Source organism: Homo sapiens, chromosome 1 (assembly GCF_000001405.40).
Source record: "Homo sapiens chromosome 1, GRCh38.p14 Primary Assembly".
Classification (NCBI taxonomy): Eukaryota; Metazoa; Chordata; class Mammalia; order Primates; family Hominidae; genus Homo; species Homo sapiens.
Window position 1 is genome coordinate 39,198,536 of NC_000001.11, and position 26,005 is coordinate 39,224,540.

The window sequence follows — 26,005 nt, forward strand, 5'->3', positions numbered from 1 at the left end:
AGCTACTCAGGAGGCTGAGGCAGGAGAATTGCTTGGAGCCGGGAGACGGAGGTTGCAGTGAGCTGAGATCACGCCATTGCACTCCAGCCTAGGCAACAGAGCAAGAGCGAAACTCCGTCTCAAAAAAAAAAAAAAAAAAATTAGCTGGGCGTGGTGGCACACACCTGTAGTCACAGCTACTGGGGAGGCTGAGGCAGGAGAATTGCTTGAACCCAGGAGATAGAGGTTGCAGAGATCGGAGCATCACTGCACTCTCCAGCCTAGGCAACAGAGCAAGACTCTGTCTCAAGAAAGAAATAAAAGGGAAGAAACAGCACTAGCAATTAATATATACTGTTGTTGAGATTCTTTTCTTAAAGCCAGGTGGAACTATTATATAAATAAGTCTTGTAACGAGGAAGTATAAACACCTCAAGTTGCTTACCCTAAAGTTAGTGTACTTATTTTGACAGAATTTTTTTCTTTTTTGAGATGGAGTCTCGCTCTGTCGCCCAGGCTGGAGTGCAGTGGCGCGATCTCGGCTCACTGCAAGCTCTGCCTACCAGGTTCACACCATTCTCCTGCCTCAGCCTCCCAAGTAGCTGGGACTACAGGCGCCCACCACCACGGCTGGCTAATTTTTTGTATTTTTAGTAGAGATGGGGTTTCACCGTGTTAGCCAGGATGGTCTCGATCTCCTGACCTCATGATCCGCCCGCCTCGGCCTCCCAAAGTGCTGGGATTACAGGCGTGAGCCACTGTGCCTGGCCTGTTGTGACAGAATTTTTTAACAAAGGGATAAAATATATTTATTTGGAATCAGGCATAATAAAAGTTCAGACATGGGCCAGACACAGTGGCTCACGCCTGTAATCCCAACATTTTGGGAGGCCTAGGCAGGAGGATTGCTTGATTCCATGAGTTTGAGACCAACCTGGGCTGTAACATAGTAAGATCCTGTCTCTACAGAAAAAAAGACAGAAAAAGCTCAGGTGTCAGCTCATCCTCTTTCTTGGATGACCTTGGCAAAATAACTTGAATTTCTGGAGCCTCAAGTGCTTGATTTATAAAATGGGGTAATAATATATAGTTCCCAGGGATATTACAGGGATCAAATGAAATAACAGATGTAAAGATGCTTTATAGTAGCTGCTTAATAAATTTTAGTTTCCCTTCCAAGCAAGTCCATCTTCTTCGACCATCACAGCCCAGGAGCTTCTTCACTTCTCCACAGCAAGGGGTGTGTCATAGTCATCTTGGTGTCCATGGTATCTGGCACAATGCTCTGCATCTTTTAATGAAATGAATGAAGTGCTTTGTTTCAGAAGAGAGGGAGCTCCAGCTTAGTCTCCACTGGACTATGTCATCAATTTTTCCTTTCTAATTCTTATTCCCTTCAGCAAACACTATTACATTTCACATATCAAGAATTCTCTATTGACCCTACATTGCTCTCTCTGCTCCTGTTTACAGCAAAGTTCCTTGAAGGAGTTGTTTTTCCCTGTCCTTGATTATTCTTCTCCCATTCATTAGTTCTTGAATCGCTCCAGTCAGGCTTTTTCTCTACCATGCCATCAAAACTGCACTTGTTAGAGTCACCAGTGACCTCCAGAATGCTAAATTCAATGGTCAGTTCTCAATCCTCAACTTGACATATTAATAGCTCTTGCATGGTTAATTGCTACTTTTTAGAACGCTTTCACCTGGCTTCTGGGATAGCTTACTCTTTTGGGTCTCCCTCTAATCCACTGAATCCTCTTTTTTAGCCCCTTTTGGTTGTTCTTGCTCTTCCCTAGATAATGTTGAAAGGCTTCCAGGACTTAGTCCTTGAACTTGATCTCTTCTCTATGTTTACTCACTAAATAATGCCATCTAGTCTCCTGGCTTTAAAATTCCAGCCTGGGCCAGGCACAGTGGCTCACACCTGTAATCCCAGCACTTTGGGAGGCCGAGGCAGGTGGATCACCTGAGATCAGGAGTTCGAGACCAGCCTGCCCAACATGGCAAAACCGTGTCTCTACTAAAAATACAAAAATTAGCCGGGCGTGGTGGTGGGCACCTGTAATCCCAGCTTCTTGGGAGGCTGAGGCAGGAGAATCACTTGAACCCGGTAGGTGGAGGTTGCAGTGAGCCAAGATAGTGCCACTGCACTGCAGCTTGGGTGACAGAGCTAGACTCCATCTCAGAGAAAAAAAAAAAAAGAAAAAAATTCCAGGCCAGGTCTCTCCCTGAACTCTAGATTCATATATTCAATTGTCTATTCAAAGTTCCACTTGAGGGGTGGGCATGGTGGCTCAAGCCTGTAATCCCAGCACTTTAGGAGGCCAAGGAAGGAGGATCACATGAGGCCAGGAGTTTGAGACCAGCCTGGGCAACATGGCGAAACCCGGTTTCTACCAAAAGAAACAACAAGGAAGTTTCACTTGAATGTCTTTAGGCATTTCAAACCTAATGTTATTCAAAAGGACATTTCTACCCTGCCCCCCCAAAAAACAGACAGCCACAGCCACCAATGAATCCCAAACCCTCTGCATCTCTGGTATCAGTCTTCCCCATCTCAGGAAATAGCAGTTCTATCCTTTCAATTTCTCAGGCCAACATTTTGGAGTTATTTTTTATTCTTTCCCTGCTCATTCCACAACCAATCTATAAGCAAATCCAGATGATTCCTTCTTTGTAATTACAGAATTTGAACACATCTTACCACCTCTGTGGCCACACTCTGGCTCTACCCATCATTTTGTAGCCACCAATTTTCACTTGAATTATTATACTGGCATTATAGCTGGTTTCCCTGTACCCACTCTTATCTCTCAGTAGTATGATCTCAACATAGGAACAAGAATGATCCTTTTTTTTTTGAGATAGAGTTTCGTTCTGTCACCCAGGCTGGAGTGGCGCGATTTTGGCTCACTGCAACCTCCGCCTCCTGGATTCAAGCGATTCTTCTGCCTCAGCCTCCTGAGTAGCTGGGACTACAGGCGCGTGCCACCACGCCCGGCTTATTTTTAGTATTTTTAGTAGAGACGGGGTTTCACTGTGTTAGTCAGGATGGTCTCGATCTCTTGACCTCATGATCCACCTGCCTCGGCCTCCCAAAGTGCTGGGATTACAGGCGTGATTCACCGCGCCAGGCTGAGCAATCCTTTTAAAACCTAAGTTAAATCGTGTTACTGTCTCACACAAAGCCCTCCAATGGCTTCCCGTTTCACCTAGAATAAAAGCCAAAGGCTTTACAATGATCTGTACAGCCATAGGTGATCTGACCTCGTCTCTGGCCTCCTCTTCTGATACTCTTTCCTTTCCTCTTTCAGGTCCAGCCATTCTAGGTTCTTTGGTGTTCCCTGAACATAAGAAACGTAATTCTGCCTCAGGGACTTTGCACTTGTTCTTTGGCTTATCCATTCTCCAGATAGCCACATGACTTGTTTGCTCATATTCTTTTTTTTTTTTTTTTTTTTTTTTTTTTTGAGATGCACTCTCACTCTGTCTCCCAGGCTGGAGTGCAGTGGCGCAATCTCGGCTCACTGCAAGCTCTGCCTCCCGGGTTCAAACCATTCTCCTGCCTCAGCCTCCCAAGTAGCTGGGATTACAGGCGACCATCACCACGCCCAGCTAAGTTTTTGTAATTTTAGTAGAGATGGGGTTTCACGGTGTTAGCCATGATGGTCTCAGTCTCCTGACCTCATGATCCACCCGCCTCCGCCTCCCAAAGTGCTGGGATTACAGGCGTGAGCCACCACGCCCGGCCTCATATTCTTTATCTGCTCAGATGTCACCTTATTAGACGAGCCTTCTCTGACCATCCTATATATAAAACCGTAAACTTGGCTAGGTGCTGGCCGGGCGCAGTGGCTCACACCTGTAATCCCAGCACTTTGGGAGGCCAAGGCAGTTGGATCACGAGGTCAGGAGTTCGAGACCAGCCTGGCCAATGCGGTGAAACCCCATCTCTACTAAAAATAGAAAAATTAGCTAGGTGTAGTGGCACGTGCCTGTAGTCCCAGCTGCTCAGGAGGCTGAGGCAGGAGAATCGCTTGAAGCCGGGAGGCACAGGTTGCAGTGAGCCAAGATCATGCCACTGCACTCCAGCCTGGGCAACAGAGCAAGACTCTGTCTCAAAAAAAAAAAAAGTAAACTATCCCCCATTGACATTGACACTCCATCTCCTCTTCGTCTCCTTTAGTATTCTCCATAGCATTTATGTGACAAGCTATGTATTTACCTGTTTATATTTCTTTTCTTTCTTCTCCTACTAGTATGTAAGTTCTGTGAGAGCAAGGTCTTTGTTTTGTTTACTGCTATTGTTTCTGGTACCTGGAACATGACCTGGCACATAATATGAAGTAAATATTTGATGAATGAAATGTAGGTTAGCACAAAATTGTAGATGATCCTATTGCCAGATTTAAAAGTTCCCATTGTATTAGTGGTCCCGTCAAGGCCCCTTTATTATTTTTCTGGGTAGTAGGTTATGCACATCTAAAACTCTTTCCTTTTGCTTCAACAAGCTCTAGAAAAAAGCAAAAGGAAAATAAATAAATAAATAAAGATTTCACATAGAAAAAAAAGTAAAACCCTTCCCTATTATTAGAAAAAAATAAACTTGACAGATATATAAAGCAATTTTCATTTTTTAAAGCTTGTGAGACTATAGCATCTTCATCTATATCATAGTGTAATAGGTACTTTAGAAGTAAGTAAACAGGGTCTCACTTTGTCTCAAATAAAAAGGCTGTAGTGCAGTGGCATGATCATGGCTTGCTGCAGCCTTGATTCCTGGGCTCAAGCCATCTTCCCACCTCAGCCTCCCCAGTAGCTGGGACTATACACACATACCATCTCATCTGGCTAAATTTTAAAATTTTTTTGTAGAAATGGGGTCCCACTGTGTTACTCAGTCTGGTCCTGAACTCCTGGGCTCAAGTGATCCTCCTGCCTCAGCCTCCTGAAGTGCAGGGATTACAAGCATGAGCCACTGCATCTGGCCTGATTTAGTGAGTTTGGACAAATGTATACAGTCATGGAACCACCACCACAATCAACAAAAGGAACATTTCCATCCTCTTACAGTTATTTTGTGATCCTTTTAGTCAATTTCCTTCCCTCATTCTCAGCCTCTTCCATTTCTAGTTGTATAGTTTTGCTTTTCTAGAAAGTTATATAAATGGAATCATATGGTATGTAGCCTTTTGTGTTTGGCTTTTTTTATGTAGCATAATAGTTTTGAGAATCATCTGTGTCGTCGTATGTATCAGTAGTTTTATTCTATTTTATTGCAGAATAGGTAGTCCATTATATGGATGCACAATTTGTTTATACATTTACCAGTTGATGGACATTTGGGTTGTTTCCAGTTTTTTATATTATGAATAATGCTGCTGCAAACATTCATATACAGGTCTTTGTGTGGATATACGTTTCTCTTTTTCTTGGATAGATACCTAGGAGTGAGATTGCTGGGTCCTCTGGTCTAAGGCCGGGCACAGTGGCACATGCCTGTAATCCCAGCACCTTTGGAGGCAGAGGCGGGAGGATTGCTTGAGGTCAGGAGTTCGAGACCAGCTTGGCCAACATGGTGAAACCCCATCTCTACTAAAAATATAAAAATTAGCTGGGTGCGGTGGCATCCACCTGTAATCCCAGCTACTCAGGAGGCTGAGGCAGGAGAATTGCTTCAACCCTAGAGGCGGAGGTTGCAGTGAACTGATATCGTGCCTTCCAAAGTGCTGGGATTACAGCCATGAACCACTGCGCCCAGCCAGACGGATTTTTTTAACCCTTGAGAAGTACCCCCTAAATGAGCAGTTTGCTCTCCTCGCTGATCTTCATCACACCTAGATGTCAGGTCTGCTTCATGGGAGCTTGCTCTGTATGTATCCTCCCTGGACTGATGTTCAGGCTCCTTGCTTCTCCTCCCGGGTTGTGGGTATGGAGGGTTTGCCCTCTGACAACTCCAGGGTACTTGTGGTGCTCATACATCCTCATGTACTTTGCTTTCTCCCCGCAAGAGGTTCCCTAATGCTTCTGTGACTTTTTTCTTCTGGCTACATCCTGAAGTCTGGCCTTGCAGGCAGGCTGGGAATGGAAAGTTAAGAGTGTGACGTCCTCTGACACCCTCCCTTCTTGTAGAAGGGTCTGAGGTTTGTTTATTTAAGCTGAGCAGAGGATGCCAAAGATAGAGGTTTGAGTCAGCTTGACACTGGCTTAGGCGCTCCTTTTCACTCTCCTTGTTCCTTCTTCCCTTTCCCCTCCCCCGCTGGCCAGTTGTTTCCTGGGCTTTGTCTGAGATACACTGTACAGTTTTAGTCCCAGTCTACTAGCGCCTGCTGAAAAACAGTCAGAAGTGAGATGGAGGAGAAGCTGCCAGGAAGTTTCTGACAACACTAAGCTCCGGCCTCTGCCTCTGCTGATAGTACAGGACAACAGTAACCTCAGGAGAAAGGCATCCAGAGGCCTGCGCTGAGCTTGTGGCTAACTCAAGGGAGGAGAAAGGACGGGCCTGGAAATGCCCCTCTTAGATTCATCTTATTTACCACCAACCATCTTTATTTTGACTCACGTTCTTGGAGTTGCTGGTGTTCTATACTGGAAGAGGCATGCCAGAGGTAGAGCAGGTAACTAACTGGTACCCAGTTATTCTTTAAATCTACTGTGGGGCTTTTGAGGGTGGGGTGAATGATGGAGGTCTTCCCAGTTGCTTTCCTTAAAGGGCCAGTACGTCCTTCAGCTGGGGTGCTGTCAGACTTAAGAGTGTGTGTGTGTGAGTATAATGAAGAAGCTGGTCTGCCCTGGGGCCACTTTGGGATGGGGGTGGTGCTCTTTTCTGTTCTGTGAGTCTGTCTGGAGAGTGCTGGTTAGATGAGGTGATGACTGGGCTCAAAACTGAAGGGAAGTGGCTGCTGTGCTGACTTAGTCTTTCCTCAGAGAACTGAGCTCTTTCTTTCTCAATCTCAGAGTGGTTTCTTGGAACCTTGTTTTTAACTGAAAACATACAGTAACTCTTTTACCCTCCTCCAGGTATAGATTTGGGTTGGAGAAGTTTCTGTTAACTTGGTGTGTTTTGGGGTGAGAAAAGGCAGAGGAGGAAGGGTCAGTCAGTGGAAGGGGTCGTGCGATGTCCTTGCCGAGGGGCATCCTGGAACACTGGGTGTCTGTGTTCTCTTTGATATCATTGATACTGTTCCTACACAGTTTGGCTATGTGTATCCAAATCATCTTGTTCAATGCAAGGAAGTTAATCCCTCTCTTCCCTAGGGAATCAGGCTTTGATAATTAAAAAAAAAATTTTTTTTTGTAATGGCACCAGAACCCTCATTCTTCCCATATTGCTATTAGTTATATTCTGTTGACTTCTAAACACTCAGAGCAGGGATCAGCCCTGAGTTTGGCTGATTCTGAGTCTCCATGGTTGAGGATTCATATGGTCTAACTTTTACTGGAGTGTATACCCTTGGGTCTCATTGCCTTCAGTACTCTCATTGTGATGGGCTCACTACCTTCAAACTTAGGTATGTAGACACTTTTTATAGTGTATCTTACAAGTTAAGGTGGGGATTTGATGGCTTATTATTTAGCTTTCTATTAAAAGTTCACAAACGCCTGACAGAATTAGAATTAGATTCAATCATTCCCCAGTGTCCTTTCCAGTACGTCCCAGAAAAGCTTTTGACTAAATATTCAGATCCTAGTGTGCATCTATAGCAGCGGAAACAAAGACAGACATTTTAGAAGTGTGTTTGATTGTGTGGTGGTGTTTTTAAAAAAGCCACCTCAAAGTGGCTTTCCTGTATTTGAACTTAGAAAGAAAGAGATAGGCAGGCTTAAGTTGTTTGGTCCTATTTACTATTTCACATGTAATGAGAAAATAAATACAATATCATTTAGGTAGAGGCTGCTGCTTTTCTTTCCTTGTGCATTATGGTAATGTCATTTTTAAACATTAAATAACTAATTAGTTGTTAATATTTTTAAAGTTTATCTTCAGTATAGGACTTTAATGGAACTTAAGAGCTATCACTGTATTTTAAGTGCTTTCTTTTTTATGTTTAGAAATGTTAATTTCATAAACAGCCATAAAGTAATTGAAATAAAAAGATACATTGTAAAAGCTTTTTATTTCTATGAAACAACTTTGATTCTAATACCAAATAGTTATATCGGGAATGTGCTACGTTTGCTTTATCTGTAAAATGAGAGATGTCATTTTTCAATTGGAGGCTATGGATTCCAAATCTTCCATGGAGTTACTTACGAGATTCTGTACCCATTTTATTATAATTGCAATTTTAAGATGCATTTCATTTATTTAAAAATGTATTTTTAAAAATAATATGTACACTCTAATTACCTGCCAGTTGGACATCACAGAATAAAGTTTTTCCACCATCTCTGTGTATATATTTGTACTATTAATAAATGTACACTTGATTAAAAACACAAAGATCGCTTCTTCTGATGTAGTCTTTTTTTTTTTTTTAATTGGAGTTACATACAGTATTGCAGAACAAACTATAGCACATAGGTCTTGTGCCTAATAATAGTAATAATAATGATTCAGGCAGAGCTCAGTTGTATGAGCTCAGGTGTTAACTGAACTATTATAATAGTGAAGTGGGTAATTAATTCATCTCTATGTAGTAATACTGTATTACTGGTTTAGTATGTGTACCAGAAGTTTCTGTTCTTTTGTCTCACTTTTCTATTTGTGTTTACATATTATGAGGAATGTTCATAGTTGTTTTTTTCTTTCTTTCTTTCTTTCTTTCTTTTTTTTTTTTGGAGACGGAGTTTTGCTCTTGTTATCCAGGCTGGAGTACAATGGAGCACAATCCTGGCTCACCGCAAGCTCCGCCTCCCGGGTTCAAGTGATTCTCCTGCCTCAGTCTCCTGAGTAGCTGGTAATACAGGCATGTGCCACCACAGCCGGCTGATTTTGTATTTTTAGTAGAGACGGGGTTTCTCCATGTTGGTCAGGCTGGTCTCGAACTCCTGACCTCAGGTGATCCACCTGCCTCGGCCTCCCAAAGTGCTGGGATTATAGGTGTGAGCCACCGTGCCTGGCTGAAGAATGTTCATAGTTTTAAACACTGAAGGTAACTGGCTTTGAAACAAATATTTGTGCTATTCTTTCAGGCTCTCGTCTCAATTTATTTGAATAATGTCCTGAGATTATTAGGCAAACAGTGAAGCTGTTATTATTTGTTTCTATTTATTTGTGTGAATCAGTTCTTAAAAATTGATTCTTGTCTACGGCCATACCACCCCAAACATGCCCAATATCATCTAAAAATTGATTCTCTGCAATAAAACACAACATAGAAATAAACCAGATGCTGGCTGGGCGTGGTGGCTCACACCTGTAATTCCAGCACTTTGGGAGGCTGAGGCAGGTGGATCACCTGAGGTCAGGAATTCGAGACCAGCCTGGTCAACATGGTGAAACCCCATCTCTACTAAAAATACAAAAATTAGCTGGTGTGATGGCAGGTGCCTGTAATCCCAGCTACTCGGGAGGCTGAGGCAGGAGAACAGCTTGAACTCAGGAGGTGGAGGTTGCAGTGAGCTGCGATCACACCACTGTATTCCAGCCTGGGCAGCAGAATGAGAGTCCGTCTCAAAAAAAAAAAAAAAGAAAAGAAATATAAAAGGGTTTTTTTTTTTTAATTAAATCTACTCCGTTCCTGTTTCACTGGTTTTATTTCCTATCTTGGCCTTATAAGCATCCAGGACTCCAGCATCTTTTAAAAACTCACAGCTCTACTAATGGATGCTTGTCCTTTAGGGTAAGTAGTTAACTGCCTCTGGAAAGCCTTCCTTGACTGAAATACGAGTTCCTATTCTGTGCTGCAGTAGCACCCTGTTAACACTACTTATTCAAACCTGTATTGTCATCTTACTTAACTTGCCCTTCTCTCCTTACTAATTAAAAACAGGGACTCTTTTTTTTTTCTTTCTGAAACCGAGTCTCACTTTGTCACCCAGGCTGGAGTACAGTGGTACGATGTTGGTTCACTGCAAATTCTGCCATCCGGGTTCAAGCGATTCTCATGACTCAACCTCCCGAGTAGCTGAGACTACAGGCGCCTGCCACCACGCCTGACTAATTTTTTATTTATTTATTTTTTTGAGACAGAGTCTTGCCCTGTCGCCCAGGCTGGCGTGCAGTGGTGCAATCTCAGCTCACTGCAACCCCCGCCTCCCGGGTTCAAGCGATTCTCCTGCCTCAGCCTCCTGAGTAGCTGGGATTACAGGCGCACGCCACCACACCCTGCTAATTTTTGTATTTTTAGTAGAGACGGGGTTTCATCATGTTGGTCAGGCTGGTCTCGAACTCTTGACCTTGTAATCTGCCCACTTCTACCTTCCAAAGTGCTGGGATTACAGGCGAAAACAGGGACTATTACTCATCTCAGTATCTGCAGTGTCTGAGGCAAAACAGATGTCAGTAAATATGGCCGTGCGCAGTGGCTCACACCTGTAATCCCAGCACTTTGGGAGGCTGAGGCGGGTGGATCACCTGAGGTCAGGAGTTCGAGACCAGCCTGACCAACATGGAGAAACCCTGTCTCTACTAAAAAATACAAAATTAGCAGGATGTAGTGGCACATACCTGTAATCCCAGCTACTGGGGAGGCGGAGGTTGCAGTGAGCCGAGATCTCACCATTCCACTCCAGCCTGGGCAACAAGAGTGAAACTCCATCTAAAAAAAAAAAAAATCAGTAAATATTAACTTGAATAAAAAATTAAAGATGGCACTAGCTGTAAACTGTAGCAGGAACCATGCCCTGTTCATTTGTCTATTAAGAGGGTTTGGTTGAGTTTAATGTGTGATCTAAGGTAGGATGCTCAGTATAGGTTAATTAGATGATACAGAGTTGCCCTGTGTTTTATTTTATTAAATCTCACATTGTGATAGTGTAAACAGGAAAAGAGCTTTATGGTTTTTTTCCTCTCTAGGGTCTTGTTTTCCTTACCTGTAAAGTGAAGGAGTTGGATAATATGATCTTTTAAAGTTCTCTCCGTTTTCAGCATCCCACTAGGAGGAACAGCCATAATCCCTGGATCCAAACTATATGAAATACAGTCTAAGATTGTATTCCATCACCTCCCCATCCTGGGTTTTTTTTTATTTAAAGCAGTTCCCTTTATCATACTATTGGGTTATATTAAACCTAAGATCAATTATAAAATGGCCAAACCTTGTACATGAATTGTTGTTGTCTCCCTTCTAGTCGCTGCTATGCCCTTGGTTTTCTTGAACTTCAGCATAAGACTTATAGGTATCCTAGAGCCAGGCATGGTGGTTCACGCCTGTAATCCTAGCACTTTGGGAGGTCAAGGCATGGGGATCACTTGAGGTCAGGAATTTGAGACCAGCTTGGCCAACATGGTGAAACCCCATCTCTACCAAAAAATAAAAAAATTAGCTGGGTGTGGTGGTGTGCGCCTGTAATCCCAGCTACTTGGGAGGCTGAGGTGGGAGAATCACTTGAACCCAGGAGGCAGAGGTTGCAGTGAGCCAAGATTGCACCCCTGCATTCCAGCCTGGGCAACAGAGTGAGACTCCATCTCAGGAGAAAAAAAAAAAAAAGACTTACAGGTATTCTAGTTAAATTTTGTCCTGTGAGATTTGGTGCAGGCTTCTAACCTTTTGAGATTTCTTTGAGCTTTAATTCTTCCATTTATGGCAATAACTGTGTGTCCTCCATTTGTGTCATCTACAAACTAGTTAAGTGCATAAAAGGAACTCAGATATTTGAATAAATGGTCATATATCTAACATATCTTTGCTCAAATAGCTAAAGCATTAGAATGTTTAATCAAGGTAGAGTCTTTGTCTTTTCCATTCCTTTCCTTTTTTTAAAAAAAAAAAAGAGACGAGGTTTTGCTATGTTGCCCATCCTGAACTTGAATTTCAAGCCTCCTCCCACCTTAGCCTCCCAAGTAGCTGGGACTATAGGCACCCTCTACCATGCCTGGCTCTTTTTCTTTCCTTTGCATTTTTTTTTTCTTAAAGATTTGTATGGTGTAGTAGAAAAACCACTTAACTTGGAATCAGAAGATCTAGGCTCTAAGCTCTTGCTCTTCTGCTTACATGTTGGACTGGTCACTTACTTCCTCTGGTCTTCAAATTTCTAGGCTGTTTGAGAAGAAAAAAGACTAAGGTCTCTAACTTTCTGTGATTCTGATTCAGTTCGATCATCTGGCCTGTTCTTGGAAGTCATATGGAATTGTGGTTGAGAGCAGGTTGAGAGTCTGGAGTCAGATTGCCTATGTTTTTATCCTAGTTCTGCCACTACTGGCTGAGTGACATTAGTTTATCTGGGCCTCTGTTTTCCTCATCTGCAAAATGGGTTTAATTATGCTGCTTGGTTGTTTTGACTTAGTTGTTTTCCCCTCTCTCCCTCCCTCCCTCCCTCTCTCTTTCCCTTCTTTCCCTCCTTCCCTCCCTCCCTCGCTCCCTTTTTTGATGGAGTCTTGCTTTGTCGCCCAGGCTGGAGTGCAGTGGCATAATCTCAGCTCACTGCAACCTCTGCCTCCTGGGTTCAAGTGATTCTCCTGCCTCAGCCTCCCGAGTAGCTGGGATTACAGGTGTCTGCCACCACACCCAGTTTAATTTTTGTATTTTTAGTAGAAGTGGGGTTTTACCATGTTGGCCAGGCTGAACTTGAACTCCTGACCTCAAGTGATCCGTCCATCTTGGCCTCTCAGAGTTCTGGGATTACATGCATGAGCCACCACGCCCAGCCTTGACTTAGTTCTTAGAACACATTCTGCATGTGGTAAGGAATATGTGATTATTTACCATCATTATTAGAATTTTTTCACATAAGATAACATTGAAGACATAGTGCTTTCCTGTGAACTGTTGGGATGAAACAGTAATTGTCCTTATTTTTTAATTTTTTAAATTTAAAAAAAATTTCATATATAGAGACCGGGTTTCTCCATGTTGCCCATGCTGGTCTCGAACTCCTGGACTCAAGCAATCCTCCACGTCGGCCTCCCAAAGTGCTGGGATTACAGGCTTGAGCCACCGGCACCCGGCCTGTCTTTATAGTTAGTAATTAAGAAATGTGACATGCCGGGCATGGTGGCTCACGCCTGTAATCCTGACATTTTGGGAGGCTGAGGTGGGTGGATCATGAGGTCAGGAGCTCAAAACCAGCCTGGCCAAGATGGTAAAACCCTGTCTCTACTAAAAATACAAAAATTAGCCAGGTGCTGTGGTGGGCGCCTGTAATCCCAGCTACTTGGGAAGTGGAGGCAGGAGAATCGCTTGAACCCGAGAGGCAGAGGTTGCAGCGAGCCGAGATCAAGCCACTGCACTCTAGCCTGGGCAACAGAGCAAGACTCTGTCTCAAAAAAAAGAAATGTGACAGAACCCAATACAGAGGTATATAAAAAGTAGGTGATATATTATGATCACTGTTTTATACGTTAAGAAAGATGTTTGTGTCTTTTATATCCTTAATAGTGGGTGATTTTGGCATTTTAGGAAAGACATTAAGTATATACCTTCAATTTTCTTTGTTTCTGTAAGAAAGCCAGTAGCTGTCAATTCTCAGATAACTTCTGACCACATGTGGAAATACTGGCCTGAACCTCTTCCCTCCACTCACCCTTTTCAAGATCTGCAGGTAGCAGCCAGACTTAAACTTTTTCCTACCTTTAACAGGAAATGACAAAAGTTGGGAAAAAAAGAAGGGGAATGGCTCGGATGACTCTACTGGCCCATCTCCTCTGGATAGTTAAGAGCTGACTGTCCTAATCAAAGTCCTCTCCTCCATTGCAGCAGAACTTGCCTCTTTTTGAGGCTCAGGACCTCTTGGGAACTTGAAGGGAAGGCCTGTCTCCTGTAGGTAGACTGACCTTGTCCCCAAGACTCTACCCTACTTTTCTCAGTCTGCAGTGCCGTTAGGAGAAATAGGTTCTGCTTGAGTGCCAGGGAATTTAGGAGATGGCAGATTTTGGTTCACTTTCCTCCAACTTCACCCAGTAATTATTATTTTGATTTTTAGAGACTGTGAATTCAGTATTTCTAGAAGTTGCCACATGTGTTCATTTTGGATGTGTCCTAAATCTCTGGTCAACCAGTTAAGTATTTTTTATTTTTTATTTTGAGACATAGTCTCATTCTGTCGCCCCGGCTGGAGTGCAGTGGCGCAATCTCGGCTCACAGCAACCTCTGCCTCTGGAGTTCAAGTGATTCTCGTGCCTCAGCCTCCCAGGTATCTGGAATTACAGGCATGTGCCGCCATGCCCGGCTAATTTTTGTATTTTTTTAGTAGAGGTGGGGTTTCGCCATGTTGGCCAGGGTGGTCTCTAACTCCTTACCTCAAGTGATCTGCCCACCTTGGCCTCCCAAAAGTGCTGGCATTATAGGCGTAAGCCACTGTGCCTGGCCGAGTTAAATGTTTTTATTTGTTACCCTTCCCAAGAATATTTCACCTTCTTACATATACAACTCCTATGCCTTTGTTTGTTTATTCTGGTTTAGGTCCTTCTCAGAGACAGCAGGGTATAACAGGGAGCACAGCTTTGGAGCTGGACAAATGGACATGTAATCTTGGTCAAGTTATTTAACCTTTTAAAGTCCTAGAATTTTTATCTCTAAAATGGAAATGATAATATCTTTCTTGGAGAATTGTTGGGATTAAATGAAATGATATTTAAAGTTTTTAGCACATTAACTGTGAACTAACAGTTATAGTAAATGTTCAGTTAATTTTAGCTTAGGTTATTGAGTACCTTCTAAATGTGATAGAGATGGGGTTATGGAGACAAAAGAGTCCCTACACTCAGATAATTTATTTTTTTATTTTTTATTTTTGAGAGAGTCTCGCTCTGTGGCCCAGGCTGGAGTGCAGTGGCACAATCTCGGCTCACTGCAACTTCTACCTCCCGGGTTCAAGCAGTTCTCCTGCCTCAGCCTCTCAAGTAGCTGGGATTACAGGCATGTGCCACCACGCCCAGCTAATTTTTTTTGTATTTTAGTTAGAGTCGGGGTTTTACCGTGTTGGCCCCAGGGTGGTCTCGAACTCCTGAGCTCAGGCAGTTTACCCGCCTTGGCCTCCTAAAGTGCTAGGATTACAGGCGTGAGCCACTGCACTCAGTCTCACTCAGGGAATTTAAATCTGATAAAGGAAGAGGTTACTAGATATGAGTCAGGAAATGTTCATTCCTTTTTTTCTCTCTTCCCTATTTCTTATGCATTCCTTTTCCCAGTACGAGGCAAATTCTAGGAGGACCCTTCATCTCCAAGGCTAAAAAGAGTCTTATAAGAGGGACAAACTGAGTACAGTTGTCACAGGTTATCAGGGTGACTGAGAGCTTAGTCTAGGCGGGATAAAGTCAGCTGTGAGAACCTTTATTAGTAAGCAGTAACAGGATTATTAGCAGTTTGTAGGTGGGAGGGATACCCACTTGGGAGTGAAGTTGTCAAGCAACTGAGGCAGGTCATAGGGCTTGTTTAAACTGAATGGTCTGCTAGGAAAGCTTGCATTTACTTTTTTTCATTTGTAGTCGTTTGGGCTAATCTCTGGAAACTTGCTTTCCTAGGTGCTGCCCCTCCTCCCTCCCTGCCTTCAGGAACAGGATTGAAAGCAGCATTAGCCTGAAGAAGTCGTTCTATTTAGGGAGCTAGAGCAGAGGGCCAGTGATTAGGCCCTTATCTGCAGCGGGGCCTTTTTGAGTGGTGTGGGGCAGGGCTGCAGTGTCTGTCCTGACACCCACAGAGGCTGGACTTTTCTGTCCCCTGGTTGGGTTAGAACTGTGAAGAACCAATAGAAGGGCTGGGCCAGCTGAATGAAAAAGCCCTTCATTGTGTTTCTTCAACATTCCAGTGTCTGGTACAATTAGCCAAGACTCGGAAAACAAGTTGGACAAACAAGCAGGCAGCCTTCTACTGATGGATGAAAGGATTTCTGGCACAGCTGAGTTAAGTGCACTGACTGTAAAGACAGAGTAGGAGGATCTGGGAAGAAGAAGGGGACTTTGGAATGCCATTCCTGGCTGTGAGGGGAAAGAATGGAGCAACAAGCAAACGGTATTTTTGAAGCTGATAAAATTTGCTGTGATAATCTACCTGGGAGGCTGGCTGAGGCGAGGCTGGCTGAGGTGGGGCTACTCTGTAAAGTAGGTGGAATCACTGGGGAGTTACTGACTCTTCCCTTTTGGCAGCTGTAAGTGCGGGGAAGGGAAACTTTCTTTGGAATCTAGGGATCTGTTCACAGTGGACGGTGAGTGTATGAGCTTGCTCCATTATAGTCTCTCCCATCATGAGACCTTCTCATTTGGTTAACACTATATGTACTTCTGCCTGAGAAGAGGCACACCTGAGGAGCAAGTTGTTGGGCAATGGATGCACTGTTCCTGACTTGGCAGTAAACCACTTAGCTCACCAGCTCTCCTGCAACTAAGATTCACCACATTACAAGCTTCTGCTCTGCAAATGGAGGGTAACTCAAAGACCAGTTTCTTCCTACTCAGGTTTACTCACTTCATACCTTGACTGGACTTTTGCATATGGAGCTCTCCCCTCTGTACGCTCTATTGGTCTGGAAACACAGAGTTGGTGCTACTTTTGAACAGCATGCAGCATGCTATATGCCTGAGACATGGACCCAGTTTTTGGAAGTGCCCTAGGGAGGAGCTTCCTCTCTGACCTCAAGGGAAGAAGGAGGTCAGTAGGAAGTGGTGGGTGGAGCCACTTCTCTGTTCTGCTGTCTCCTCTCTACACCTCACAGCCCTTTTTGAGGAGCTGCGAAGGGTGCACAGGCCAGTAGCTGGAGGTTCTTTGGTACCCCCTCCTTTTAGGTGGGGTCAGCAGACACAGGGGCGCCATGTGGCCGAGTTACCAAGATGAACACGAGTTCAACGCCCACCTGGTTTGTCGCATGTGCTGTATGGGTTAGTATGTGAAGTTTTTTTTTTTTTTGCTTGTCCGGGCCTGAGGATCCCAAATAGCCCTTGCTCTCATTGACTCATAGGAATGCATGGACTTCGAAGCCTTGTGGTGTTACAACCTTTAGGCTTGTTAAAATGTGCAGTGGAATAGATTGGGGTGCCCTACTTCCTGGGGAACTTCTTAAGCTTGCAGTAACTGGCAGTTAAGAGCCCAAGCTTTGGGTGTAGAACTTTTTTTATAGAGACTGAATTCATGCTCATGCTTCTGCCTGTATCAGGAAACCACTTTTAAGGTATGTTGCATAGTGCTGAAAGTCCAGAGTGTATTTTTAGCAGAAGTTGGTTGGTTACGGAGTCCACCTCTGAGCAGACTGGCGGGAGGATGGGGGGTGGGAGGGAGGAGTCATGGCCTATGTTTCCTCTTTGGGGCTTATTGCTAGTTCTTTTACACTTTACTCTGCCAGCTGTGACAGAGAGAGAAAAAGACTCAAAGATGATCTGGGGTCAGGGACCTAAATAAGAGAGGCTAGGGGAAGAGTCATGTTAGCTGTGACTTAGATCTCTCTTGATAAGGCATCATTAAATAATGATTATTTAAGTAATGTCCTGTGGCCTTGAACAAGTGACTTAACCTTTTTGGCCGTAGGTTTCCTTGGTTTCAAAATTGTAGGGTATACAGACTGGTGCTAGACTGAGAGACATCAATTCTCTGTAAAATGAAAAAAGATAAAGAAAATGTAGTGTGTCTTTCATAAAGCTAAACTTAAAGAATTGTCTTTTATTCTGAAATTGTCTCTCCTACTTTCTAATGTTAAAATATCCTTTATTTTATGAAAGAATTGTTATTATATGGTAGTGTGTTTTTAAGATATCCCTACTTAGCAAAATGAAAAGTGACAACTTCTGTTAGGCTTTCTGATTTATTGTGGAACATGTATTTGTCTATGAAATCTTAGTTTGGGAACCACTGGTTTGGTAATCTACTATCTTTTGATTTTATACTTTGAGTCTCTAACAAGGAGCAAAATTGTGACCCAAATAGGCAGATTTTCATTAAAATTGAAGTAACTAGTTGTTTGATGAAGAGGAGACCTTAGAAAAATCTCAGAGAAGGAGAGCAACAGAACTAGGGTTCTGATCAGTCTCCTGACTCCTAGGCTAGTGCTTGCAAGTATTTAGGTGCTTTTTGAGGAAAAAAAGCTGCCATAGCAATAATGCTTGGGGCACAGAGGGGGCAATTTTAGTGGTCTACTTTTTTTTTTTATCTTTCCTGTATCATTGAGATTTCTTCCCTGGAACCTAGAAGAAAGAATTGCCTATATCTAAAAGTGCTTGGAGATAAACGTATAGCAAAAGGGCCTTTCCTGTAACCAACAAAGAAGTATAGGAAAGTCTAAAATCTTTATTGAAAGTTTCAGGGCAAAAACGTAATGTAGCCCCATCTCCCCCAATCCCACATAATCCCCTAAAGGCACTGTAGACTAATAGCTAAGAAAATGGGCTTGGCATCAACTGTCTACACGGGGTTCCTACTCCACCACTTAACAACAAAACCAACTGGGGACATTGCTTAACCTTTCTCTAGCTCGGTTACCTCATTTTTTATTTTTCTTTTTTTCATATCACCGTAAAATAAAATCACTTGTATAGGGAGAATGAATGAAGATTAGCAGTGGATTTTCATGTTATATACTTTTCACATTATATTACTACTGTAACTACCAGCTAGCATTTATTAACTTATTATGTGTGAGAGACTAGGCTAAGTGCTTTCATATCATATACTCCTCACAATCACTTCATGATTTAGGGTCTATTTTATTTTATTTTATTTTATTTTATTTTATTTTATTTTATTTTATTTTAGAGACGGAGTCTTACTCTGTTGCTCAGGCTGGAGTGCAGTGGTATGATCTTGGCTCACTGCAGCCTCCACCTCAGGGGCTCAAACGATTCTCCTGCCTCAGCCTTCCAAGTAGCTGGAATTACAGGCACGCATCACCACACCTGGCTAATTTTTGTATTTTTGGTAGAGATGGGGTTTCGCCATGTTGCCTTGGCTGGTCTTGAGTTCCTGACCTCAAGTGATCCCTCTCAAAAAAATAAAAATAAATAAAATTACTATTCAAACCTCATTGCTTAAAAAAGGGATTAAAACAGACTCTAAATCAGCCGGGTGTGGTGGCTCATGCCTATAATCGCAGCACTTTGGGAGGCCAAGGAGGGCGGATCAGTTGAGGTCAAGAGTTCAAGACCAGCCTGAGCAATATGGTGAAACCCCATCTCTACCAAAAATACAAGTTAGCAGGGTGTGGTGGCGTGCGCCTATAGTCCCAGCTACTGGGGGTGGGGTTGGGGGCGCGGCTGAGGAGGGAAGATCGCTTGAGCCTGGGAGGCAGAGATTTCAGTGAGCCGGGATCCACTCCAGCCTGGGTGATAGAGCAAGACCCTGTCTCAAAAAAAAAAAAAAAAAGAGGTCGGTCACAGTGGCTCATGCCTGTAATCCCAGCACTTTGGGAGGCCGAGGCGGGCGGATCACGAGGTCAGGAGATCGAGACCATCCTGGCTGACACGGTGAAACCCTGTCTGTACTAAAAATACAAAAAATTAGCTGGGCATGGTGGCGGGTGCTTGTAGTCCTAGCTACTCGGGAGGCTGAGGCAGGAGAATGGCGTAAACCCAGGAGGTGGAGGTTGCAGTGAGCCGAGATCACACCAGTGCACTCCAGCCTGGGCGACAGAGCGAGACTCCGTCTCAAAAAAAAAAAAAAAAAAAAAAGCTTCCCAGATGATTTTGAGATGGCTGGTTTACAGACTGATATTTAGGAACTATTGGCCTAACTCCTCATTTTATTTGCAGAGTTGGAGATAAAAATAAAATTTTAAAAATAACAAAGGACAAATGCCTAATTTTATAGATGAAACTCAGGCTCAAAGAAGGGAAATGAATGTCATGCAAAGGTATGAACCATAGACTAGACACCAGGAAATCCAAGTTATAGACCTAGTTCTGCCCCTGTGTGACCTTGTCTAAATTATTTAATCTCTCTGGGCCTTGGTTTCTTCATCTTTAAGATGATTTTTGAGGACTCTTAAAACTCTCTCTTTGTATTTATGAAATGCTTCGTTTTTCTGACTGTGATATTCCCGTGAATTCTCTAAGAACTATTGAGCTTTTCTTCCTCTTGTGTTCTTATATGTGCCTCCCTCTCACTGTGGCTCTCTTCTTTTGTTACCGTGCTTACCCCTGGATTTCTTTATCTTACTTCTTTCCTTTATTCTGTGATTCTTAATAGTCCAAAGAATTATCATTATAATATTAGGTTTTCCTAAGAAATAAGGTAAATTTTTGTTTTGTTTTGTTTTTTGAGACAGAGTCCTGCTTTGCTCTGTTGTCCAGGCTGGAGTGCAATGGGGCGATCTCGGCTCACTGCAACCTCTGCTTCCCAGGTCCAAGTGATTCTCCTGCCTCAGCCTCCCAAGTAGCTGGGATTACAGGCGTGTGCCACCACACCTGGCTGATTTTTGTACTTTTAGTGGAGACGGGGTTTCACCATGTTGGCCAGGTTGGTCTCGAGCTCCTGACCTCAAGTGATCCACCCATCTCAGCCTCCCAAAGTGCTGGGATTACAGGCATGAGCCATCACACCCGGCAGAAATAAGGTAGAATTTTAATTTTGCATTGAAGCTTCTACAGTTGTCACTTCCTTAAAACCCCAAATCTCAATCCTCATTGGTACTTTCTCAGCCTACACCAGTCATTGGTGATAAATGCCTTTCATGAATCCCTATTATAGTTAGTACTTTTCCTTTAACTTGATTATATAGGACTGCATTGTATTGTCTTCTAATAAATTTATGGAGGTTAAAAGTCTATGATCTGACAGACTTGGATTTGAATCTCAATTCTGCTGTATACTGCGTGACTTTGGGAAGATTACTAACAAGTCTTTCTGAGCATGAATTTGCTGAACCATGAATAAGCATACTTGAGAGAGTTGTGAGGATTGTCAAATACTAAATGAGATAAGCCTCAAACAGCACCTGATACATAATAAACACAATAAATATCGAGCTCCACCTTATCTCCCAAAGTAGACTTTTGTAGCCTTCTGAGGATAGCAATCATTTATAATGTTTGTGCCATTATACATTATTGCTGAACACATTTTAATTGCTTGACCTCCAATTTCACCAATTTCCTTTGCGCTTACATTGGGAACATTAAGTGGTTCAAAATCCCCAGGATCAAGATGTGGCAAGGAGAATTTAGGAAAGCTGAATCTGTAGAGGGAATATCTGAGTGGGAGTACCTGCTCCCTGCTGAAAAGCAGTCTTTTTTTGAGATGGAGTCTCACTCTGTCACCCAGGCTGGATTGCAGTGGTGCCATCTCAGCTCACTGCAACCTCTGCCGCCCGGGTCCAAGCAGTTTTCCTGCCTCAGCCTCCCGAGTAGCTGGGATTACAGGCTTGTGCCACCACTCCCAGCTCATTTTTGTATTTTTAGTAGAGACGGGGTTTTGCCATGTTGGCCAGGCTAGTCTCGAACTCCTGACCTCAGGTGATCTGCCCACCTCAGCCTCCCAAAGTGCTGGGATGGCAGGCGTGAGAGCCACAGTGCCTGGCCTGAAAATACCATCTTAATGTGTCTTGTAGCTATAACCTTGACACCTAGAGGACTGTGATTATATATTTGTTAAATGAATATTTTTCAATACCTATGGTTGTCCTAAATGTTGGATATTTAATGAAAAAAAAATTTTTTTTTGAGATGGAGTCTTGCTCTATTGCCCAGGCTGGAGTGCAGTGGCACAATCTCAGCTCGCAACCTCTGCCTCCCAGGTTCAAGCCATTTTCCTACCTCAGCCTCCTGAGTAGCTGGGATTACAGGAGCGCACCACCTTGCCTGGCTAATTTTTGTATTTTTAGTAGAGATGGGGTTTCACCATATTGGCCAGGCTGGTCTCGAACTCCTGACCTCAAGTGATCTGCCCACCTCAGCCTCCCAAAATGCTGGGATTACAGGTGTGAGCCACTGCTTCTGGCCTTTAATGAATTTTTTTTTTTTTTTTTTTAAGACAGAATCTTACTCTGCCACCCAGGCGGGAGTGCAGTGGCGCAATCTCAGCTCACTGCAGCCTCTGCCTCCCGAGTTCAAGCGATTCTCCTGCGTCAGCCTCCCGAGTAGCTGGGATTACATGCGTGCACCACCACACCTGGCTAATTTTTGTCTTTTTTTGGGTAGAGTCGAGGTTCCCCATATTGGCCAGGCTGGTCTTGAACTCCGGACCTCAAGTGATCCACCCACCTCGGCCTCCCAAAGTTCTGGGATTACAGGTGTGAGCCACTGCCCCTGGCTGGCCTTTAATGAAGTTTAAAGCATGGATCTTGACTTGAAAGAGCTCAATTCAGATACAGAAATGGACTTAGATACAGAGCTTTCTAATGATAGGTTTTATATGCTTAGTGCTAAGTAAATTGAAGAAACTTTAAAGTGCCATAGGCATCCAAAGGTGGCTGACATGTCCGGAAAGGTGTAACAGAAGCAAGACTTCAGCTGGACTTTGAAAGGAGGTTCTAAGTTAGACAAGCCCCAAGAGAAGAGGGTAGATATTCCAGTTGGGGGAAAGGTTGCTCCTAGTAGAGTAGGACAGATGCGAAAGGTATGTTTGGAAACAGTAAGAAGATCGGAATGGTTGCAGTTGAGTCATGCAGGGGAGAGTGAAAGGTAGATAGATTGTAAATTTCTTCAGGTCAGAGACCAGTTCTTTATCTTCTTGAACCACCGAAAACGTAGTGAATAAAAACTGCAATTGAATTTTATAGGGTTGTAGAGAGCTTTGAATTCTAAAACTAAAGTGATCAAATCCGTAAAGGATTTTGAATAGAGAGAGAGGTGATGTGGGCTAAGTGGTGATTAGGAAGATTTGTCGAAATAGGCTGTTTGCTCTCTATTTGCCACAGCTATCAATTTTTAACTCCAATTCCTTATCTTCAGTTCTGACTGCTCTTCTGAACTCTAGACCAAAGATTCCAACTGTCTGTGAGAAGATCCTCCTAACACCTCACTCTTTGTCTTCTCCTTTACCCAATGTACCCTCACCAAATCGGTAACCTCTTTCTGTTTTCATTATCTTGAAGTTCTACTCTCCTCCCAGTTGCTGTGGCTAGAAGCATGAGAATTGTCTTGAACTCTGCCATTCCTTACCCGCCACCACATCTAAAGGCTATTTAAAAGGCTATTTAAAATAGCTAAAGGCTATTGTTTCTACCTCTACATTGCATGACAACGTAGAGGTACCTGCCCTCTTCTTTACTTTCCTGCTGCCTCTGCCCTAATTCATGCTATTTCAAGATGTTTCTCCTGGTCTGTCACTGGAGACTTCTAACTGGTTCTTCTGCCTCTTAGTGTCTTTCTGGTATAATGTGGCCTTCAGTCCAAAGCCAGATTAGTCTTCCCAAAACATACTGTGGGTCAGAAAATTTCAGTGGTTCTGCTTTGTCTACTTAATTAAGTACGTACTCCTTACTCTAGCTTTCTGGGTCCTTTGTGATGTCAGCTAGCTGTTCTGTTAGCCTGGTTGCTCATCACACTGCTAACTGCATGGTATGGTCATGCATGTAATAGCCATACTGTTCCCTAAAACACATCCTGTATACTTACATGTCTCCAAATCACTACTTGTGCTTTGTAAATTAAAAAAAAAAAATTTCTTTTTGAGACAGGGTCTTGCTGTCACCCAGGCTGGAGGGCAGTGACACAATCTTGGCTCACTGCAACCTCTGCCTCCTGGGCTCAAGTGACCCTCCCACCTCAGCCACCCAAGTAGCTGGGACCACAGGCGCAAGCCACCATGCCTGGCTTATTTTTGTATTTTTTGTAGAGACAGAGTTTTGTCATATTGCCCAGGCTGGTCTTGAACTCCTGAGCTCAAGTGATCCACACACCTTAACCTCTGAAAGTGCAGGGATTATAGGCATGAGCCACCATGCCCAGCCTACTTGTGCTTTTTTTAAGTTTGGAATCCTTTGACTCCTTTTTGGGCTGCCAGAATCCTACTCGTTATCCAAGGTTTAGTTCAGACACCGTTCACTTCGTAGCCTTTTGTCTAAGATCAGGTATAGTTCTATCACGCCTTCCATGAACACCTCCTACCTCTCTGTGAGGATTAATCAACTCTATGCTTGTGCTATAGTGTCATTTTGTGCAGCTTGTGTCTGGTGTGTTATTTGCTTGGTGTTATTGTTAATTATTTACATGTTGTTCTCCACCACTAGATTGTAAACTTCATGCGGTCACAAAACAGGACTATTCCAACTCTACTTCCCTTCTGTGTCAGCTGTGGTATATCCTTTTTAGATTTCCAGGTGGTTGGTGTTTCTGGGCTTCTTGAAGCACTTGTCATTTTTCTGTGGCCTTTGGAAACAGGAGAGGCTCTTCTCTCACTTGTTTTTTGAATGGTTCGTAATGTACTGGGACTATGTGGGTAGGCTATGTTGGATCAGAACATAGAATTTTGCCCCTCAAATGCAGGCTTTCATTTGACGTCAGGCCTACTCTCAAATTTCTCCTAGTAGAGTAGGACAGATAAACAAGTAAACAGTGATACCATGCAATAAGCACACAAACTAGTGTGTGTAAGAGATGGGAAAAGCTCCTGGAGGAGGGGATAGTTGAGTTGAAGGCTGAAGAATGAGTAGTCAGAGAAGGGGAGAGCTATATTCACAGAGTATGTGCAAAGGCATGGAACTGAGAGAAAACCTGCCCCATTTGCAGGAAATTTTTTAAACAAGGCTGGAAGTTTTTATGGAAAGGTAGAGGGATGAGTGGAAGGTAGGCATTCCATCATAATGGATCTTAGCTCCCAAGCTAAAAAGTTTGACTGTTATCCCAAATGGAAGCATCAGGCTTTGGAACTGGGTAGAGCTGGGTTCAAGTTTGACTTCATGACTTACCTTGTGATCTTGGGCAAGCTGCTTCATCTGTCTGGACTTTATTTTTCTGGCTAACTTACAGAGTTGTTGAGCATTAGAAAGAATAGATACAAGGTGCTTAGCACCTAAGTAGGTGCTGAATAAATGCTATTTAATTTTTTTTTTTTTTTTAAGACAGAATCTCACTGTCATCTAGGCAGGAGGAGTTCAGTGGTGCCATCTTGGCTCACTGTGACCTCCGCCTCCTGGGTTCAAGTGATCCTCGTGCCTTGGCCAACCAAGTAGCTGGTATTTTACAGGTGCCTGCCACCACGTCTGGCTAATTTTTGTATTTTTAGTAGAGACAGGGGTTCACCAAGTAGGCCGGGCTGGTTTTGAACTCCTGACCTCCAGTGATCTGCCCGCTTCTGCCTCCCAAAGTGCTGGGATTACAGGTGGGAGCCACTGCACCCAGCCTAAATGTCAACTATTAATAATATTGGGAGAATAAGGGCTCACTGAAGGATTTTAAGTTACAAGATTAACCTTGCCAGAAAGGTTGCTGACACCATTGAGAAGGATGGATTACAGCAGGGATATCTGTCAGAAGCAAGGAGAAAAGAAGAGTTCAGTTTTAGACAAGTTGAGTTTGAGATGAGCATGGAAGTTTTAGGAGGCCATTGGATATATGAGAGTGGTAAAGGCCTGAGCTAAAGATACAGATTTGGAAATTATCATTGTATAGGTCACAGCTGAAACTATGGATGTTCATTAAATCATTAAGGGAGAATGTAAAGAACAGCTATTTTTAATTTTTATTGAAAAGCTATGGACATCCCCCTACTCCCCCCCATACACACATGACACAAAACATTTTGCATGTAATTTTAGGTGGTTCCTGAACACTCCCTCTCCAAAACCCATTAGTGGACTCTTGGGTCCTTGGACATCTGAAGAAGCTATAATACAGAATGAAAAGAAAAGAGGGCTAAGGATGAGTAATGTTTAAGGGATGAACAGAAGAGAAGAAACAACCAAAGAAGAAGGCAGAAAACTAGGGTAGAATGGAATCTCAGATTCAAGAGAGAGAGTCAATTTAAAAGGTGAAGGAATGATCACCAGTGTCTTCTGCTACAGAGAGTTTAAGTGAGATAGAACTCAAAACTATCCATTGGGTTGGCAATTAGGTGACTGTGGGGAG

General features: G+C 43.3%; 1 protein-coding gene across 2 annotated transcripts in view, besides 5 other annotated features; it reads left to right on the forward strand.

The window, feature by feature from the left end:
- MACF1 (microtubule actin crosslinking factor 1) overlaps nt 1–26,005 on the forward strand; it is a 402,972-nt gene that overhangs the window by 114,369 nt on the left and 262,598 nt on the right. The window contains exon 1 of one of the 2 annotated variants that reach the window (NM_001394062.1): nt 6,160–6,596. The exons of the other annotated variant lie outside the window; for it this stretch is intronic. Coding sequence (NP_001380991.1) covers nt 6,488–6,596 — 109 coding nt within the window. The 5' untranslated portion in view covers nt 6,160–6,487. Of the gene's footprint in view, nt 1–6,159; nt 6,597–26,005 lie in introns of those variants that run through there. 2 annotated transcript variants of the gene reach the window in all.
- Nucleotides 6,346–6,525: an enhancer, noted in NCBI's record as "active region_806". NCBI's record gives its function as "activates an Ori minimal core promoter by ATAC-STARR-seq in GM12878 lymphoblastoid cells {active_cell/tissue: GM12878}" and the evidence as "EXISTENCE:reporter gene assay evidence [ECO:0000049][PMID:35858748]".
- Nucleotides 15,266–15,984: an enhancer, noted in NCBI's record as "OCT4-H3K27ac-H3K4me1 hESC enhancer chr1:39679473-39680191 (GRCh37/hg19 assembly coordinates)". NCBI's record gives its function as "activates a minimal SCP1, AML or CMV promoter by ChIP-STARR-seq in primed H9 embryonic stem cells {active_cell/tissue: H9 hESC(primed)}" and the evidence as "EXISTENCE:reporter gene assay evidence [ECO:0000049][PMID:30033119]".
- Nucleotides 16,363–16,472: an enhancer, noted in NCBI's record as "active region_807". NCBI's record gives its function as "activates an Ori minimal core promoter by ATAC-STARR-seq in GM12878 lymphoblastoid cells {active_cell/tissue: GM12878}" and the evidence as "EXISTENCE:reporter gene assay evidence [ECO:0000049][PMID:35858748]".
- Nucleotides 19,046–19,095: a silencer, noted in NCBI's record as "silent region_696". NCBI's record gives its function as "represses an Ori minimal core promoter by ATAC-STARR-seq in GM12878 lymphoblastoid cells {active_cell/tissue: GM12878}" and the evidence as "EXISTENCE:reporter gene assay evidence [ECO:0000049][PMID:35858748]".
- Nucleotides 19,216–19,265: a silencer, noted in NCBI's record as "silent region_697". NCBI's record gives its function as "represses an Ori minimal core promoter by ATAC-STARR-seq in GM12878 lymphoblastoid cells {active_cell/tissue: GM12878}" and the evidence as "EXISTENCE:reporter gene assay evidence [ECO:0000049][PMID:35858748]".